This window comes from Homo sapiens, chromosome X (assembly GCF_000001405.40).
Source record: "Homo sapiens chromosome X, GRCh38.p14 Primary Assembly".
Lineage (NCBI taxonomy): Eukaryota > Metazoa > Chordata > Mammalia > Primates > Hominidae > Homo > Homo sapiens.
The window spans coordinates 19,805,554-19,822,346 of NC_000023.11; the positions used below are offsets into that span (position 1 = coordinate 19,805,554).

At 41.3% G+C, this 16,793-nt stretch overlaps 1 protein-coding gene across 18 annotated transcripts in view, besides 1 other annotated feature; it reads right to left on the bottom strand.

Annotated features, from left to right (window-relative positions):
* SH3KBP1 (SH3 domain containing kinase binding protein 1) overlaps positions 1-16,793 on the bottom strand; it is a 353,624-nt gene that overhangs the window by 271,577 nt on the left and 65,254 nt on the right. The gene's annotated exons all lie outside the window — the stretch shown is intronic.
* Positions 6,580-6,629: an enhancer, noted in NCBI's record as "active region_29468". NCBI's record gives its function as "activates an Ori minimal core promoter by ATAC-STARR-seq in GM12878 lymphoblastoid cells {active_cell/tissue: GM12878}" and the evidence as "EXISTENCE:reporter gene assay evidence [ECO:0000049][PMID:35858748]".

The following is a 16,793-nucleotide window of genomic DNA, read 5'->3' on the forward strand; positions in this document are numbered from 1 at the left end:
GTACCCTATCACAGAGCTCAGCCAAGACTCCCAGAAGTTCTCCGAACCTGACAGATTTGGGTGCCCCTCATGCTAATTACCGTCTGGTTTGAGGTTTGTGAACATAGCCAAGGCCACCCAGACAATGCTATACCATAGTACAATTAGGGGTGAGAGAACACAGACTCTGGAGTTAAGCCACCCACCAGCCCACGTCGAGACCTGCCATTTACAATCTGTGCTCCCTTGGGCAACTTACTTAATGTCTCTGGTCCCTGGGAAGTGCTATATAAAAATTTGCTGTTTGCTGTTTTCCTCATCTAACATGCAGTCCCATGAATGGTACAGATAAAGGAACTATGCACACAGTGGGTGCTCAGTTATTGCTAATGGTTGAAGAACTCTCCATTCACCTGGTATTTCCCTCAATGAATATATCATTACCAAATACCAGCAACCTTTTGGTGTATCAAGAAAGGTACTCTTGGGAAGGTGTTTTTCTTCCCCTAATGGTGAAAAACAAAAACCAATGGATACAAGCATCTTCTTAATCCAATGTAACAGTCTCCCTCTCCAGTCATGTACTTAATATGGTTCATTTATTTTATGTCTCATATCTTCTCAAAAAATAAACACTACTATAGAAAAAGTATGAAAAGCATTTGAGCAGGTGAAAAATGCAGTCTACAAAACAGTAGACTGGGCCAGGCACAGTAGTTTATGCCCGTAATCCCAGCACTTTGGGAGGCTGAGGCAGGTGGATCACTTGAGGTCAGGAGTTCGAGACCAGCCTGGCCAACATGGTGAAACCCTGTCTCTACTAAAATACAAAAATTAGCTGGGCATGGTGGTGTGCACCTGTAATCCCAGCTACTTGGGAGGCTGAGGCAGGAGAATCGCTTGAACCAGGGAAGCGGAGGTTGCACTGAGCCGAGTTCGCGCCACTGCACTCCAGCCTGGGCGACACAGCGAGACTCCATCTCAAAAACAAAACAACCCACTAGACTGGTACCAATTACTTAACAGTTATTGAGATCACAAAAAGTGATTTCCAGAATGTTCCAGGTAGGGAAGTGTCAGACAACATTGCCCTCACGGTATTAATACTATACAATAACACTGTATAGTATTCTGCTGTGTAGTAAGACACAGCAGAAATTGGGACGTTGCAACTATTTACCCATTTTCATCTATTTTAAGCACTCATGACAAATGAACAAGTGATAGATAGTTCAACATGCATTTACTAAATCCATTTCCTTAGGCAGTTTCAGCAGCCAATGTTTTCACATAAACTTAGTACGTGAATTTTACAACTATGTTTGGTTTTCGGTTTTCTTTTTCATCAGAGGCTCCACTTTTAAGAATACCTGTCCTTCTAATTAGTTCTCACAACACAATCCTGGGAAGTCAGGCTGCCAGAGTTCAAATAACTGGGTTGACCCTTAATAGATCTGCAATCTTCAAGTCAGGCAACCTCTCTGAGCTTCAGTTTTCCCATCTATAACATAGGAATAATCACTACTTGGGGCAAGGGATGGAGGGTAAGGAGTAGCTGAGTTAATACAAAGAACAATACAGTTGCACTGGATAAATGATGCAGTATCTACTCACAATTGCAAATTCACATTCCTTTTCACCCTGTACCAGGTCCTGAAGTGGTTACAAACAAGATCTAACAGATTCTCCTTGTCCCTCAAAATGGAGGAAGACAGGTAATTCTTACACATGTTTAAAGAAAACTCACCCACCACTTTATCCCTAGAGGTTGGCCATGACAGCAACACAATTGTAAAGCTTGCTGTAATCAGCACCATGCCCATAGCGTTTTTACCTTCCAAGGCAACAGTGCAGACCGAGGGAGGATCCAACCTTGTTCACGCCTCTGGGCAATTATGCTTCTTGTTCTCTGCTTGGATGGCTCTTAGCAATGGCAGGAGCCTCTTCCTCATCATTCACGTGTGGGCTCCAACTTCTCCTCACCTGAAACAGCCCACACACTCCACCAGCCACTCTAGCCACTCTAGCCTTTTCCTCTCCTGTGTTTCTTCATGGCTGCATGTTTCACTATCTATAATTATCTTTTCACTTGTCTGTGGTTAAGCTCTCTGTACTCTGTTGGAGTGTAAGCTCTCTAAAAGCTCAGACCTTGTTAAGCTCATTCTGAAATGGCTCCTAAAATGGCACCTGTCACAGAAAGGGCACTCAGTGGACAGAGCTAGGTAAGATACATGTGTGTTTTGATCGTTGCAGCAGCTATATCGCATTTGCATCTGGTTCTACTGAGTGTTTTGTCTCTTCAGACTGCTTTTACCTGCCTTTTGGCATGCCTTGTAATTTTTGGTTGAAAGCCAGACATTTCATAGAAGGTAGCAGATACTAAGGTAAATGAGCCCTTAGTGTGGAACTGATATTAATCTAGTCAGGAGTTGAGCTGCGTTGAGGTTTGTTGTTCCTATGAACATCAAAAACTTCAAATTCCTCTAGTGACCTTTTTTGTCCCCTCTCTTGGCTTTGGGGCTTTCCTTTATGCTGTTCCCAGTGTGAGCCTGTCTCTTGCAGCTCTCCCTGCTGTAACCCACTGTTATTCCTGGGGGCTTGCTAGCCTGCAGGTGGGGTGAGGGAAGAAGGGCAGTTCTCTAATATTTCAAGTCTCAGTCTCTAAAATATACACAGCGGGCCTGTGTCTTGAAGGTGTAGGCTTCACAACGTATTTGCCCTAGGGATACAGCTCCTCCCACCCCAAACCCCCAGCTGTAGCAGGTATCACCAATGTTCTCAGTCTACCACCCGCTTAAAGACCTTTTTTTTTAGGTGAGATGGAGTGGGGAAGGGGCTGAAGGGGAGCTCCATCCCCCATCTGCAATGGTTAATTCACCAGGGCCCTCAGACCATAGCCTTCCTCTGCAGAATAAGCCTTTTGCTCCTTAAAGGAGAAGGGTCTAAGTAGATTGCTCAGTGGTTCCTGAGCCAGCACCATGAGTTTTCTCTGAATTTTCCCTCACCCTCCCAGTTAGAGCCAAATGGGGTTCCTGGAAGAAAAGCCTGCAAAGGGATAGGACCCCCTCCCCCACAACTGCTGCCCTCAAGACTTCACACTCTCAAGTTAGCCCACACTCAGCCTCCAGCAATTTGTCAAATTTTCTAGCTTAATCTTCCTACCTACTTCTATGGGGTCTGGTGGCTTCTGCTCCTGTAAACAAATGCTCAGGTCCTGTCCTGTGTCTCAGAAGGCACCTCTTTCCAGATTTTGAAATGGTCGTTTGCTCTGCAAACTCAGTTCTCTGTTAATTTCCAATCTGTCCAGATTTTTTCTTGGAAGCGTGGGAGGGACATCTTTGCAGCTCTCTACATCTCTGAGCTGAAATCAGAAGTCTACTTATTTATTTTTTTAAGGATCAGAAGTAAGTATGACAAAATGGCAACATTTGATAGAACTAGGTAGTGGGTAGCTAGATGTTGGTTATATGCTCTTTTATATTTTCATGGTTCAGTAACATTTCAAATTATAAAATTAAGTTGTAGGTGGCCATGGTAGAAAAGAGTACTATAATATAAATAGACTGAGGTATGTGTACAGCACTTGGTTCTTGTTCAATAACTTACAGAAATCACCTGAATTTTAAAATACAACCAGCATTTTTGGCAACGCTTCAGAAATTGTCCTGAAAAAATATAAATCACTCCAATACACCATTAAATGTCAGTATCAGCCAGGCACGGTAGCTCACGCCTGTAATCCCCACACTTTGGGAGGCCGAGGCAGGCAGATCACGAGGTCAGGAGATCAAGACCATCCTGGCCAACATGGTGAAACCCTGTCTCTACTAAAATACAAAAAATTAGCTGGGTGTGGTGGCGTGCACCTGTAATCCCAGCTACTCGGGAGGCTGAGGCAGGAGAATCACTTGAACCCGGGAGGCGGAGGTTGCAGTGAGCCGAGATCGCACCACTGCACTCCAGCCTGGCGACAGAGCAAGACTTGTCTCAAAAAAAGAAAGAAAGAAAAAAAAAGTCAGTATCAAGGGAAAGGAGAAACTGAAATGGAAAAATTAATGTTCTAAAAGAAAACAAATGTATCTTAAAATGTGCATGTTTATAAATCAAAGTATATGAAAATTACATGTTAATTGATTCACTATTCTTTAAACTGATATCCAACCATCATTAATATTCATGGAAAACGATAATTAATAATGCATGTGCCAGCAGACCATAGGTCAACCAGCAAGTGCCAGATCCCAGATTGCAGTACATTATGCAACACCTAGTAACCAAACATCTTAAACCTTCAGACGGCCATGCTTCCTTTTACCCACATTCCTAATTTAATATAATTGGTAATCGCCTGTAAATGAAAGCAGCAGCAGCTTGGTAAGATCCACCTCATGGAAAGAACATTCCCTTTTTACTTAAATAATTCACTATCTCAGATAATAGCAAATAAATGATATGCTACTAAAAAGTGAGCCATTTAATAACTCCAGAAGTGCAGATTAATCTTAAGGATTGTGTATTAAATTCAATTAAACCAGATGAATATTTAACATGTCCTTCTATGTCCGTAAGACCATTCTAGCCACTCTGGGAAGAGATGGGCCAACATAAGTTATCTACCAATCCCTGCCATCAGGACAGACACAGGGATGGGTCACAGGGCTGAGTCCAGGAAAGGCAAACATGCACCACATTTGCATACATTCTCATTAGCAAAGCGAGTGACTTGCAAGTACTTTTATACTTTAACATTCACTTGTACGTTCCATTTAAAAGGGAAAAAGAATATAGTTTATAGTAAAGTGAATCTTCGTGTGACTTTCATTATAATGAATGAAGACAGGACTAAATTTGTCTGTAATGAGACTAAAATGGGCTGAATCTACCAATGATGAATCTGTGGCTTTAATTATCCTGTGTGGCTCTGTGAGATGAACCCCAGGTGGAACTGCAATCAGGGTGATCACTCAGACAGCTAGATAACACACTTCACCCTGCCTGAGAACCATCACTTGTCAACTGTATTACGTTGTCACAAGGGCTGTTTACAAATCAGCTACATCTCTGCATTGCAACATGCCCTAAATTAGATCTCACATCCAGCTTGAGGGCTAGGGACTGTGTTCAGCTTCAAGCTGGCAGCGCCCTAGACTTGATTGTCACCTTAAAATATCTGTTAATGGAACCCATTCAAATTCAAGTTTTAAAATAAAAGGATGAGTTAAATTGAATTAAAAAAAATCAGAGGCTAAAAAAGGAGTGAGGTATATGGATTTTTAACCACCACTGACAGCAGAAGCTCACACTATAATTGCATGGATTATATGCACCAAAGAGATCAGCTGTCATGTGACATTTTAAGCCAAATAACAGAGCAGTCCTTGGAAAAATGTCAATAAGCACAAAGAAGTGATTTCTCAACATCTGAAACCACACTAACCTCCATATTCAAGCGTTTCAGCATTAGTATTACGTGCCACCAGAGCCCAATGTCATAATCACTCATTTAACACAGAGTAGCTGAAACTACTTTCATAGGGCAGATGTATTTTTTTAATAAGCAGATTGGCAATTATTCCAGTTTCAAGACCGGGGGAGAAAAAAACTTGTGCGCACACTCACGATTTTGCAGCTTACAGAAATAAGGATTGAATTGTGGAAGCAAGAAAAAAACAAAAAAAGATTGAATCATGAATATAAGCCAGGCTGTTAAACAGCAATTACAGAACGACAGCTACCATCCTGATTCCTTTCATATCTGTGCCCATGAGGGTCCCGATATTACAATATGACTACAGGCTTAGCAGTTAGAACTTGATAGCGTTTATGGTTTTAAACAGCTGTAATGTATCTTTTACCAATAATCTGTCAGCCTATTGATTTTGGATGTTGTCTCTTAGATAAAATCTTATCTGGTCAGAAAGCAAATCCCACTGGACCGAAGCCTTCGGCAGCAGGCATCACACTCTTGACAAGGTACTCTCCAAACATGTCCAGCTTTGCTAAGAATATGTTCACATGTTAATACTTCATCAATTCCAATTATGTTGTAGTATAATCACAACTAAAATGTACATCTAATAAATATTTTAAACATGGTTTTAATGTTAATTTACTTTTTCTTCCATGATACGCAAAAACAGTCCCTCTTTGGTTTTGACTTGGCCCCCACTGCGCCGATACTACCTACCTGCACTAGCTATCTCAGACCTTGACCATGGCTTCGTTTGACAGCCAGGAAAAGTACAACCCCAAGAGCTTCAGCATGGCCACCAGTGGCACAGCTGGTTCACAGCACAGCCACAACTGGAACTGGAACCAACTTCACAACCTTTACTGGCAACCAGTGAGTTGTGGCCTCCCTAGAAGAAAACTTCAGTGTAAAGAGGACATAGTCACCAGGGCCTCCCCCACACCTCCTGGGAACTGAGCATGGCTCTTAGGAAAGCATTGGCACAGTTCCTCCCGCTCTGGGTCTCCATCTGGGACCACCTGCCTCTAGAAACCCAGGGCAGGATGTGGTTTGACTCGGACAACTTCTCAGCTTACAAACTCAGGCAAGCCCACTTTGTTTTTCACCCTGACTCCCAGACACATGATATCATCTCTTTGTTAGTCTTCATGAGAAAATCCTGGTGGTCCCAGAGGAAGTATGACAATAATGAAAAGCTCTCCTTCATGACGAGCAAAATAGACAGCTAAGAGCAAAAACGGGCTGACTTCATACACCTCATTCCACAAATAACTGTGTGTTTGTGTGACTTTTGTGCTAGTACATGTTGTGACTACACATTAAAGAGACTTTCACATCTTCACCTTCACTCTCCCTGAACTCTCCTCAAGAATTTATCTCATCTCCCTCAGTGGCATAAAGATGATGAAATTTACCCCTTAGCCTGCGAGTGGGGCAATATACTATTTCATATCCCTTTGTGAGTTAAGAAGCTAAAGTGAAACAAAATGTCTTCTGGGTAGCCCTAAAGATGTACTGCCCATATGTTCCTTCAAGAAAGAACTTGGCCAGCATAGTGGCTCACACCTGTAATCCCAGCACATTGGGAGGCTGAGGCAGGAGGATTGCTTGAGCCCAGGAGTTTGAGACCAGCCTGGGCAACATAGTGAGACCCCGTCTCTACAAAAAAAAAAAAAAAAAAAATAGCTGGGGCTGGGCATGGTGGCTCATACCTGTAATCCCAGCACATTGGGAAGACAAGGTGGGCGGATCACCTGAGCTCAGGAATTCAAGACCAGCTTGGGCAACATGGTGAAACCTTGTCTCTACAAACAATACAAAAATTAGCCAGGTGTGTTAGTGCACGCCTGTAGTCCCAGATACTCAGGAGGCTGAGGAAGGAGAATCGCTTGAGCCCGGGAGGCGGAGGTTGCTGTGAGCCAAAATCGCACCACTGCACTCCAGCCTGGGTGAAAGAGAGAGACTCTGTCTCAAAAGACAACAACAAAAAATTAGCTAGATGTGGTGGTACGCGCCTGTAGTCCCAACTACTCAGGAGGCTGAGGTGGGAGGATCACTTGAGCCTTGGAGGTCGAGGCTGCAGTGAGCCATGATCGCGCCACTGCACTCCAGCCTGGGCAACAGAGTGAGACCCTGTCTCCAAAAACAAACAAAAAAAAAGAAGAAGAAGAAGAAGAAGAAGAAGAAGGAAAGAACTAACTTGCACCTTTGGAATCTGCCTCAGCTTTCTTTCTAGCAGAGGCCATGCTCTCGCTGAGGAGCCAACAGCTGGTCACTAATCTGGGGAGTGCAGTCCTAGAGCCTGGCCATTTCTGCCCATTTCTTTTTTTTTTTTTCCAGCCTTACTGAGGTATGATTGACAAAGAAAAATTGTATTAATATAAGGTGTACAACATGATGATCTGACATATATATACACCGTGAAATGACGATCACAATCAAGCTAATTAAGAGACTCATCACCTCACAGAGTTCCCTTTTTGTAATAAGAACACGCAAGAGTTACTCTCAAATTTTAAGTATGTAATGCATGATTATTAACTCTAGTTACCGTGCTGCACAGCAGGTCTCCAGAACTCGTCTTGTAATTGCAAGTTTGTGCCCTTTGGCTAGCATCTCCCCTTTGCTTTCATGGAGCAATTTTTGTCCAGAAGCCCCCTGTTAGGCTGGCCAGGACAGACTGGCATCACCACCTGAGGCTCTCCCTGCCCTGCTCCTCTGCTCTCTCATCCTTCAAGGGTGTTATCCCCCCAGCCCCCAAACAAACCTCCTCTACTCCTAACTCCATCTCAGCATCCGAATCCTACAGTACCAAACTGCTAAACACCATCTAAGTATTTCTCCAGTGTCTTGGAGTGGCTTAATACTGATATTAATAGCTAATATTTGTTGACAAATTAATATTTACCAAGTTGCTCTAAATGCATGATTTCACATCACAGGGTGACAGGTAAGAAAAGCAGCCATCCTTGCATCAAACAGGAATTGTAGTGCCAGAGGTGGTTCTGTGGTGGGCCTGGGCTGACAGCCGGGCAGCTGTGCAAATTCCTATCTCTAGCCTGGACCTGGCCCCCACACTCCAGACCCACATCCCTACCATGCTTCCCAATGCACAGGACAAAAACCTTAGAGTCATCTCTCCCTCCTTCCTCTCCTGCCACACCCCCAGTCTTACCAGCAAATCCCGTTGGCTGTACTTACAGAAATATCCAGAATCTGACCACTTCTCACCCTCCCACTGCCACCCCCTGGTCTCCCCTGTATTCCTGCAAAGGGCCTCCAAACTGCTCTCCTCGCTTCCACCCTTCCCCCTTGCAGTCTTTTCTCAACACGGCAGCCAGAGGGAACCTGTTAAAACATCTCTGGTCGCATCAGCCTCCCCAGTTACTTCCCATCTCACTCAGAGTCACAAGTCACAAGGCCCTCCCTGATCTGGAGCCCTGTAACCTATGTCCTCTAACCCCTTCTCCTATTGCTCTCCCCTGCCCTCTTCCCTCCGGCAGTGGTGGTGCACTGGTCTCTCTGTTGTTCCTCCAACAAGCCAGGGACACCCTCCTCCATAGGGCCTTTGCACGTGCCGTTCCCACTGCCCGAAGGGCTCTTTCCCCCAGATCCCCACAAAGTTCTTCCTCACATCCTCAAGTCTTGACTTAAATCACCTTTTTCATGAGGCCTTTCCTGGCCTCCCTATCATAAATTGCAATCCCATCCCCAACATTCATCTTCCCCTCCCCTTCTTTCTCCTCCTCAAACATGCTTGCTCCAAGAGACTAGGCCCAGGGTGAGGCTCAACAGGGTCTCTGAGGCCCACATCCTCTCACACTCCACCCCCACTTCTCTCTTCCTCCATCCTTCTTTTCTCCTCCCAACTCTACTTCTGTCATTGGCCCTCCAGTCTCCAGGCCAACCACAGACAGGCCAAGTGATAATGCCTCCTTGGACCTGCTCAAAGCTGGGGGTGGGGCTTCCCCAAATCCCAGCCTCAGACATGACAACAGGATGACAGAGTCTGACCTCCTGAGAAAGAACTGAAACACCTGTAATCTGTCACCCATCACCCATCACCCACAAAGAGCTGGAGAACTGCAGTGTATGGGAAAGTGGTATGGTCCTGGTGGTGGTTATTATTTTTTTAATTTAATGGAAAACAACAAGGACAAGAGTTAGAAATCCTAAAAAATACTAATGCTGAGACTCACAATCAGAGATAAAGATGAGACTAAGATGCAGCCTGGGCATCGGGATTTTTAAAGCTCCTTGGGCGATACTTGTGTGCTGCCAAGGTTGAGACCCATTGGAGATTTTTTTTAATTTTTATTTTGAAGTAATTATCTACTCACAAGAACTTACAAAAACGGTGCATGGAGTCCCATAAACCCTTCACTTAGCTTCCCTCAGTGATGATATATGACTATAGTACAATATCAAAACAAAAAAATTGACATTGGTACAATACTGTTCACTACAGACCTTATTCCGTTTTCATCAGTCATTCCATACACTGATTTGTGTGTAACTCTTTGCAACTTGATCCAATGTGTAGATTTGCACAAATCTACACACTGGATCACAATCAATATACAGTCAAGATACAGAACTATTCCATCTTCAAAAGGAACTCCCTCATGCTACCCCTTTATTGTGGTACCAGTCTTCCCCACACCCTGTCATTGTCCCTTGGCATCCAGTAATCTGCTCTCCAAGTCTATAGCTTTGTCATTTTGAGAATGTAATATAAATGAAATCATACAGTGTGTAACATCTTAGGTTGGCTTTGTTCACACAGCACGATGCCCCTGAGATCTATCTAAGTTGTTGTGTGTATCCGAGTTCATTCTGTTTTATTGCTGAGTAGTATTCCATGGTATGGTTGGACCGGAACTTGTTTAACCATTCATCCACTCAAAGACAATTCAAGATATTTCCAATTTGCAATTATTACAAATAAAGCTGCTATGAACATCTGTGTACAGGTTTTTCTGTGAACTTAAGTTTTTATTTCTCTGGGATGAGTGTCCAAAAGTATAACTGCTGCATCCTATGGGAAGCACATAGTTCTATAACAAACTGCCAAACTATTTTCCAAACTGACTGAACCACTTTTCATTCCCACCATCAATATATGAGAGAACCAGTTTCTCTGCAACCTTGCCAGCATTTGGTGTTATCACCATTTTTAATTTAGCCATCCTAATGGCCATTCTAATAGATACATAGTAATTTCTTGTTGTGGTTTTAATTTGCATTCCTCTAATGACTAATGATGTTGGACATCTTTTCATGTGCTTATTTTACATCTGCATACTCTCTTCAGTGAATGTCTGTTCGTGTATTTCACCCATTTTCATTAGATTGTTTTGGTTTCTTACTGTTGCATTTTGAGAGCTCTACACATTCTAGATACAAGTCCTTTGTCAGACATGTGGTTTGCAAATATTTCCTCCCAGTCTGTAACCTATCTTTTCATCCTCTTCACATTTTGATGAAGTCTAATTGATCTTTTTTTATTTAATAGATTGTGTTGGCCAGGTGTGGTGGCTCACACTTGTAATCCCAGTACTTTGGGAGGCCAAGGCAGTGGATTACTTGAGTCTAGGAGTTTGAGACCAGCCTGGGCAACATAGGGAGACTCCATCTCTACAAAAAATACAAAAAATTAGCCAGGCGTGGTGGCTCACACCTGTAGTTCCAGCTACTTGGGAGGCTGAGGCACAAGGAGCACTTGAGCCTGGGAGGTCGAGGCTGCAGTGAGCTGAGACTGTGCCACTGCACTCTAGCCTGGGCAACGGAGCAAAAACAAAAAAGATTTTGTTTTTGGTATGATATCTAAGAACTCTTCACCTAGGCCTAGGTCCCCAAAATGTTTGCCTATGTTTAATTCTAACACTTTTATAGTTTTATGTTTTACATTTAAATCCATGATCCGTTTTGAGTTAATTTTTTAATAAGATGTTAGATTTAGGCCGAGTTTCACTTTTTTTGTCTATGGATGTCCAAATACTCCAGTATCATTTGTTGAAAAGGCTATCCTTCCTCCATTGAATTGCTTTTGCCCTTTTGTCAAAAAGTCACTTGGGCATATTTGTGTAGGTTTATTTCTGGGTTCTCTAGTCCGTTCCTTTATCTATATGTGTATTCCTGTGTCAATACTAGACTGTCTTGATTACTATAACTATTAAAGTTAACTCATAAAATTGGGTAGATTCCTATTTTGCTCTTCTTTTTCAAAATTGTTTTCAAAATGTTTTGACTATTGTAGTTCTCCTGATTTCTTTTATAAATCTTAAAATAAACTAGTCTATAGCTACAAAAAAAAATCTTGCTGGAATTTTGATAGAAATTGCATTAGATCTACAGGTTAATTTGGGGGAATCAACATCTTAACCACACTGACTCCAGTCCATGAATATGGTATGTCTCTCCATTTATTTAGATCTTCTTTGAATACTATTAACAACATTTTGTTGTTTTCAGCATGCACATCCTGTACATGTTAAGTTTATACCTAAGTATAGTCATATGCTACATAACATTGTTTTTGTCAATAATAGACAACATATACGTCAATGGTCCCCATAAGATTATAATACCATACTTCTATTGTATTAAGTACATTTTTTATATTTATATATGGTTTTGTTTTTGTTTTTTTGAGACAGTATTGCTCTGTTGCCCAGGCTGGAGTACAGTGGTGAGATCTCAGCTCACTGCAACCTCCGTCTCCCAGGTTCAAGCGATTATCGTGCCTCAGCCTCCTGAGTTGCTGGGATTACAGGCACAGGCAACCATGCCCAGCTCATTTTTGTATTTTTAGTAGAGACAGGGTTTCACCATGTTGGCCAGGCTGGTCTCGAACTCCTCACCTCAAGTGATCCACCCACCTTGGCCTCCCAAAATGCTGGGATTACAGGTGTGAGCCACAGTGCCCAGCCAATATTTAGATATGTTTAGATATGCAACTACTTACCATTGTGTCGTAACTGCCTACAGTAACATGCTGTGCAGGTTTGTAGCCTAGGAGTGATAGGCCATACAATATGGCTAGGTGTGTAGTAGGCTATATCACCTACGTTTGTATAAGTATACTACTCTATGATGTTCACACAACAACAAAATCACCTTACAATGCATTTCTGAGAACATATCCCTGTTGTTCAGCAATGCATAACTGTATTTCAATTCTTTTGGGAGAGACTGTACATGGCATTGTGTTTTTAATTTCAGTTTCCATATGTTCATTGCTAGTATCTAGAAATATTAAATTGTGTGTTTGATCTTATATCCTGTGACCTTACTGCACTCACTTATTCTAGGAGTTACTTGGTAAATTCTTGGGATGTTCTACTGGAGAATCACGTCATCTGCAAATAAGATGTTATTCTTCCTTTCCAATTCATATGTCTTTTATTTTTTTCTCAACTAGTTGCTCTAGCTAGGACTTCCAGTATTACGTTGAATGAGACTGGTAAGAGCAGACATTCTTACCTTATTTCCCCATTCTCAGGGGGAGAGTATACAGTCTTTCACCATTAAATATGGTGCTAACTGCAGCATTTTTGTAGATGCTCTTTATCAAGTTGGGGGAATTCCTCTCTATTCCTAGTTTGCTGAGAGTTTTTATCATGAATGGCGTTGAATTTTGTCAATTTTTTTCATCAATTGATCTGATTATGCGATTTGATTTTTTCTCCCATAGCGTGTTGATATCATGGATTACACTGATTGATTTCCAAACACTGAAGTGGCCTTGCACATCTGGAATAAACCCCACTTGGTCATAGTATATAATTTTTTTTATAAGTTGCTGGATTGTTTTGCTAATACTTTGCTGAGGACTTTTGTGTCTATGTTCTTGAGGGACACTGGCCTGCAGTTTTCTTTGTTGCACTATCTGGTTTTGGTATTAAGGTAATACTGGCCTCATAAAATGAATTGGGACACATTCCCTCCTCTTCTATTTTCTCGAAAAGATTATGCAGAATTGGTGCTAATTCTTTAAATGTTTGGTGGAAATTATGACGAAAAACCTCTAGGCCTGGAGATTTCTTTTTTGGAAGCTTTTACATGACAAATTCAATTTCTTTAACAGTTAGTTATAGGACTATTGACATTATTTCACTTTGGGTAAGTTTTGGTAGTTTGTAGTTTTCAGGGAATTGGTTCATTTCATCTAAGTTGTCAAATGTATGTACATATAATTTAGTATTCGCTTATTGTCCCTTTAATAGCTGCAGAATCTGTAATGATATCACCTGTTTTATTCCTACTATGCTAATTTGTGTCTTTTTCATCTTTGCCTGTCTTCTTAGAGGTTTACCCATTTTATTGATCTTTTTATTTATTTATTTTGAAATAGGATCATATTCTGTCACCCAGGCTGGAGTGCAGTGGCACAATCACAGCTCACTGCAGCCTCAACCTCCCAGGCTTAAGTAATCCTCCCACCTCAGCCTTTTGAGTAGCTGGGACCACAGGCATGCACCACCACGTCCAGCTAATTTTTTGATTATTATTATTATTTTTTGATTGGCGAGATAGTGTCTTGCTATGCTGCCCAGGCTGGTCTCAAAGTCCTGGGCTCAAGTGATCCTCCCACTCCCGCTTCCCAAAATGCTGGGATTTCAAACATGAGCCACTGTACCCAGCCTATTGGTCTTTAAAGAACTGGCTTTTTCATTGATATTCTCTGTTGTTTTTCTGTTTTCACCTTCAATGATTACTGCTCTTATCTTCATTATTTCCTTCTTCTGGTTGTTTTCGGTTTATTTCACTTTTTCTAGTTTCTTGAGGTAGGACCTTAGATTATTGATCTGAGAACATTCCTCCATTCTAATGTAAACTTTAGTGCTATAAATTTTCCTCTCAGTACTGCTTTAGCTGGGTCCCACACATTTTAATATGTTGTATGTTCATTTTCATTCAGTTCTATGTGTTTGTTTAATCTTTTTGAGACTTCTTCTTTGACCTGTGGATTATTTAGAAGTGTGTGATTTGATTTCCAAGTGTTTGGAGATTTTCTGATCTTTCCATTACTGACTTCTAGCTTAATTACTTATGGTCAAAGAACACCTTTTTTATTATCTCAATTCCCTTAAATATATTGAGGTTAGTTTTATGACCCAGGATATGGTTTAACTTGGCAGATATTTCATGGGTACTTGAAAAAAATGTGTTTTGTGCTGTTTCTGTGTAGGATATTCTGTAAACATCAATTACAACTTCTTGGTTGATTATGTTGTTCAGGCCTTCTATACCCTTGCTGATTTTCTGTTTAGTAATTCTGTCAAGTGCTGAGAAAGAGATGCTAAGTTGCCAACTATAACTGTGTACTTGTCTATTTTCTAGTTCTATCAGTTTTTGCTCCATATATGTTGCAGCTCTGTTGCTTGGCCCATACACATTTAGGACTGCTACGTCTTCTTGGTGGAATGACACTTTTATCATTGTGTAATGTCCTTCTTTGTCCCTGGTAATTTTCTTTGCTCTCTGGTCTACCCTATCTGATATTATATGTAGCCACTCCTGCTTTTTTAAAATTAATACTTGCATAGTATGTATTTTCCAACTTTTACTTCCAACGTGCCTATATCAATATATTTGAAGTGAGTTTCTTACAAACAGCATATAGTTGAGTCAAGTTTTTTTTTTTATCTATCATCTCTGTTTTTTAATTGGTATATTTAAAACACATATTGACATGTTAGGACTTACACCTGCCATTGTATTATTTGTTTTCTGTTTGTTCACTCTGTTTTTCATTGTTTCCTTTTTCTTGTCTTCCTGTGGGTTACTTGTACATTCTTTAGAATTTCCTTTTATATATAGGCAGTTTTAGTATATCTCTTTGTACAGTTATACTTTTAGTGATTTTTAGAGTATTTTAGTTATTACAATATACATATGTAACTTGTCACAGACTACTTCGATCAACATTTTCCTATTTCAGTGAAGTGTAAAAACCTTACTTCCAGTTAGGTTCTTTTACATCCTCCCCACCTCTTAAATATAATTTTCTTGCATATTACCTCAATATATATTGGATACCACACCAGATGATCTAATTTTTGCTTCAACCATCAAACATGTTTTTAAAAATTAATGATACAAGCCGGGCACAGTGGCTCACACCTGTAATCCCAGCACTTTGGGAGGCCAAGGCGGGTGGATTACCTGATGCCAGGAGTTTGACACCAGCCTGGCCATCATGGTGAAACCCCGTCTCTACTAAAAATACAAAAATTAGCCAGGCATGGTGGTGCACATCTGTAATCCCAGCTACTCAGGAGACTGAGGCAAGATAATCACTTGAACCTGAGAGGCAGAGATTGCAGTGAGCCAAGAATGTGCCACTACACTCCAGCCTGGACAACAGAGCAAGATTCCGTCTCAACAACAACAACAGAAAAAAATTAATGACACATACCCTATACTTGGCCTACTATACATACTCCCTATTTTTACCCATTTGCTATTTTCTCCTTTCTGAAATTCCAAAGTTTCTTCTGTTACCATTTCTTTTATGTTTAAAAAACTTTTTTTTTTCTGAGATGGAGTCTCACTCTGTCGCCCAGGCTGGAGTGCAGTGGCATGATCTCGGATCACTGCAAGCTCCCCCTCCCAGGTTCACGCCATTCTCCTGCCTCAGCCTCCCGAGTAGCTGGGACTACAGGCGGCCGCCACTATGCCTGGCTAATTTTTTTGTATTTTTAGTAGAGATGGGGTTTCACCGTGTTAGCCAGGATGGTCTCCATCTCCTGACCTTGTGATCCGCCCATCTCAACCTCCCAAAGTGCTGGGATTACCGGCGTGAGCCACCGTGCCCAGCCTAAAAAACTTTCTTTAGGCATTATTTAAGGATAGGTCTGCTATTGATAAATTCTCTTAGTGTTCCTTCATCTGAGAATGTTTTCATTTTCTCTTCATTCCTTAAGGATATTTTCACCAGACAAAGAATTCAGAGTTAATCTTTCTTTTCTTTCAGCCCATGAAAATGTTGTACACTTCCTTCTGGACTCCATTATTTTACAGGAGAAATTCATTGTCATTCAAATCATTCTTCCTTGTAAGTATATGTCATGTCTCTCTTGCTGCATTTTCTTTGCCTTTCATTTTTAGAAGCTTGATTAGTATGTATCTTGGCATAGATTTCTCTAGGTTTATCCTGTTTAGGTTTTGCTCAGCTTCTGAATTCTGAAGATTTATGCTTTTTGCCAAATGTGGTGAGTTTTCAGTCATCATTTCGTTCAATATTGTTTATTATCATAACCTTCTTTTCTCCTTCTGGAATTCTGATGACCCAAATGTTAGATCTGATGTTATTATCCCATAGGCCTCTAAGGCTCTG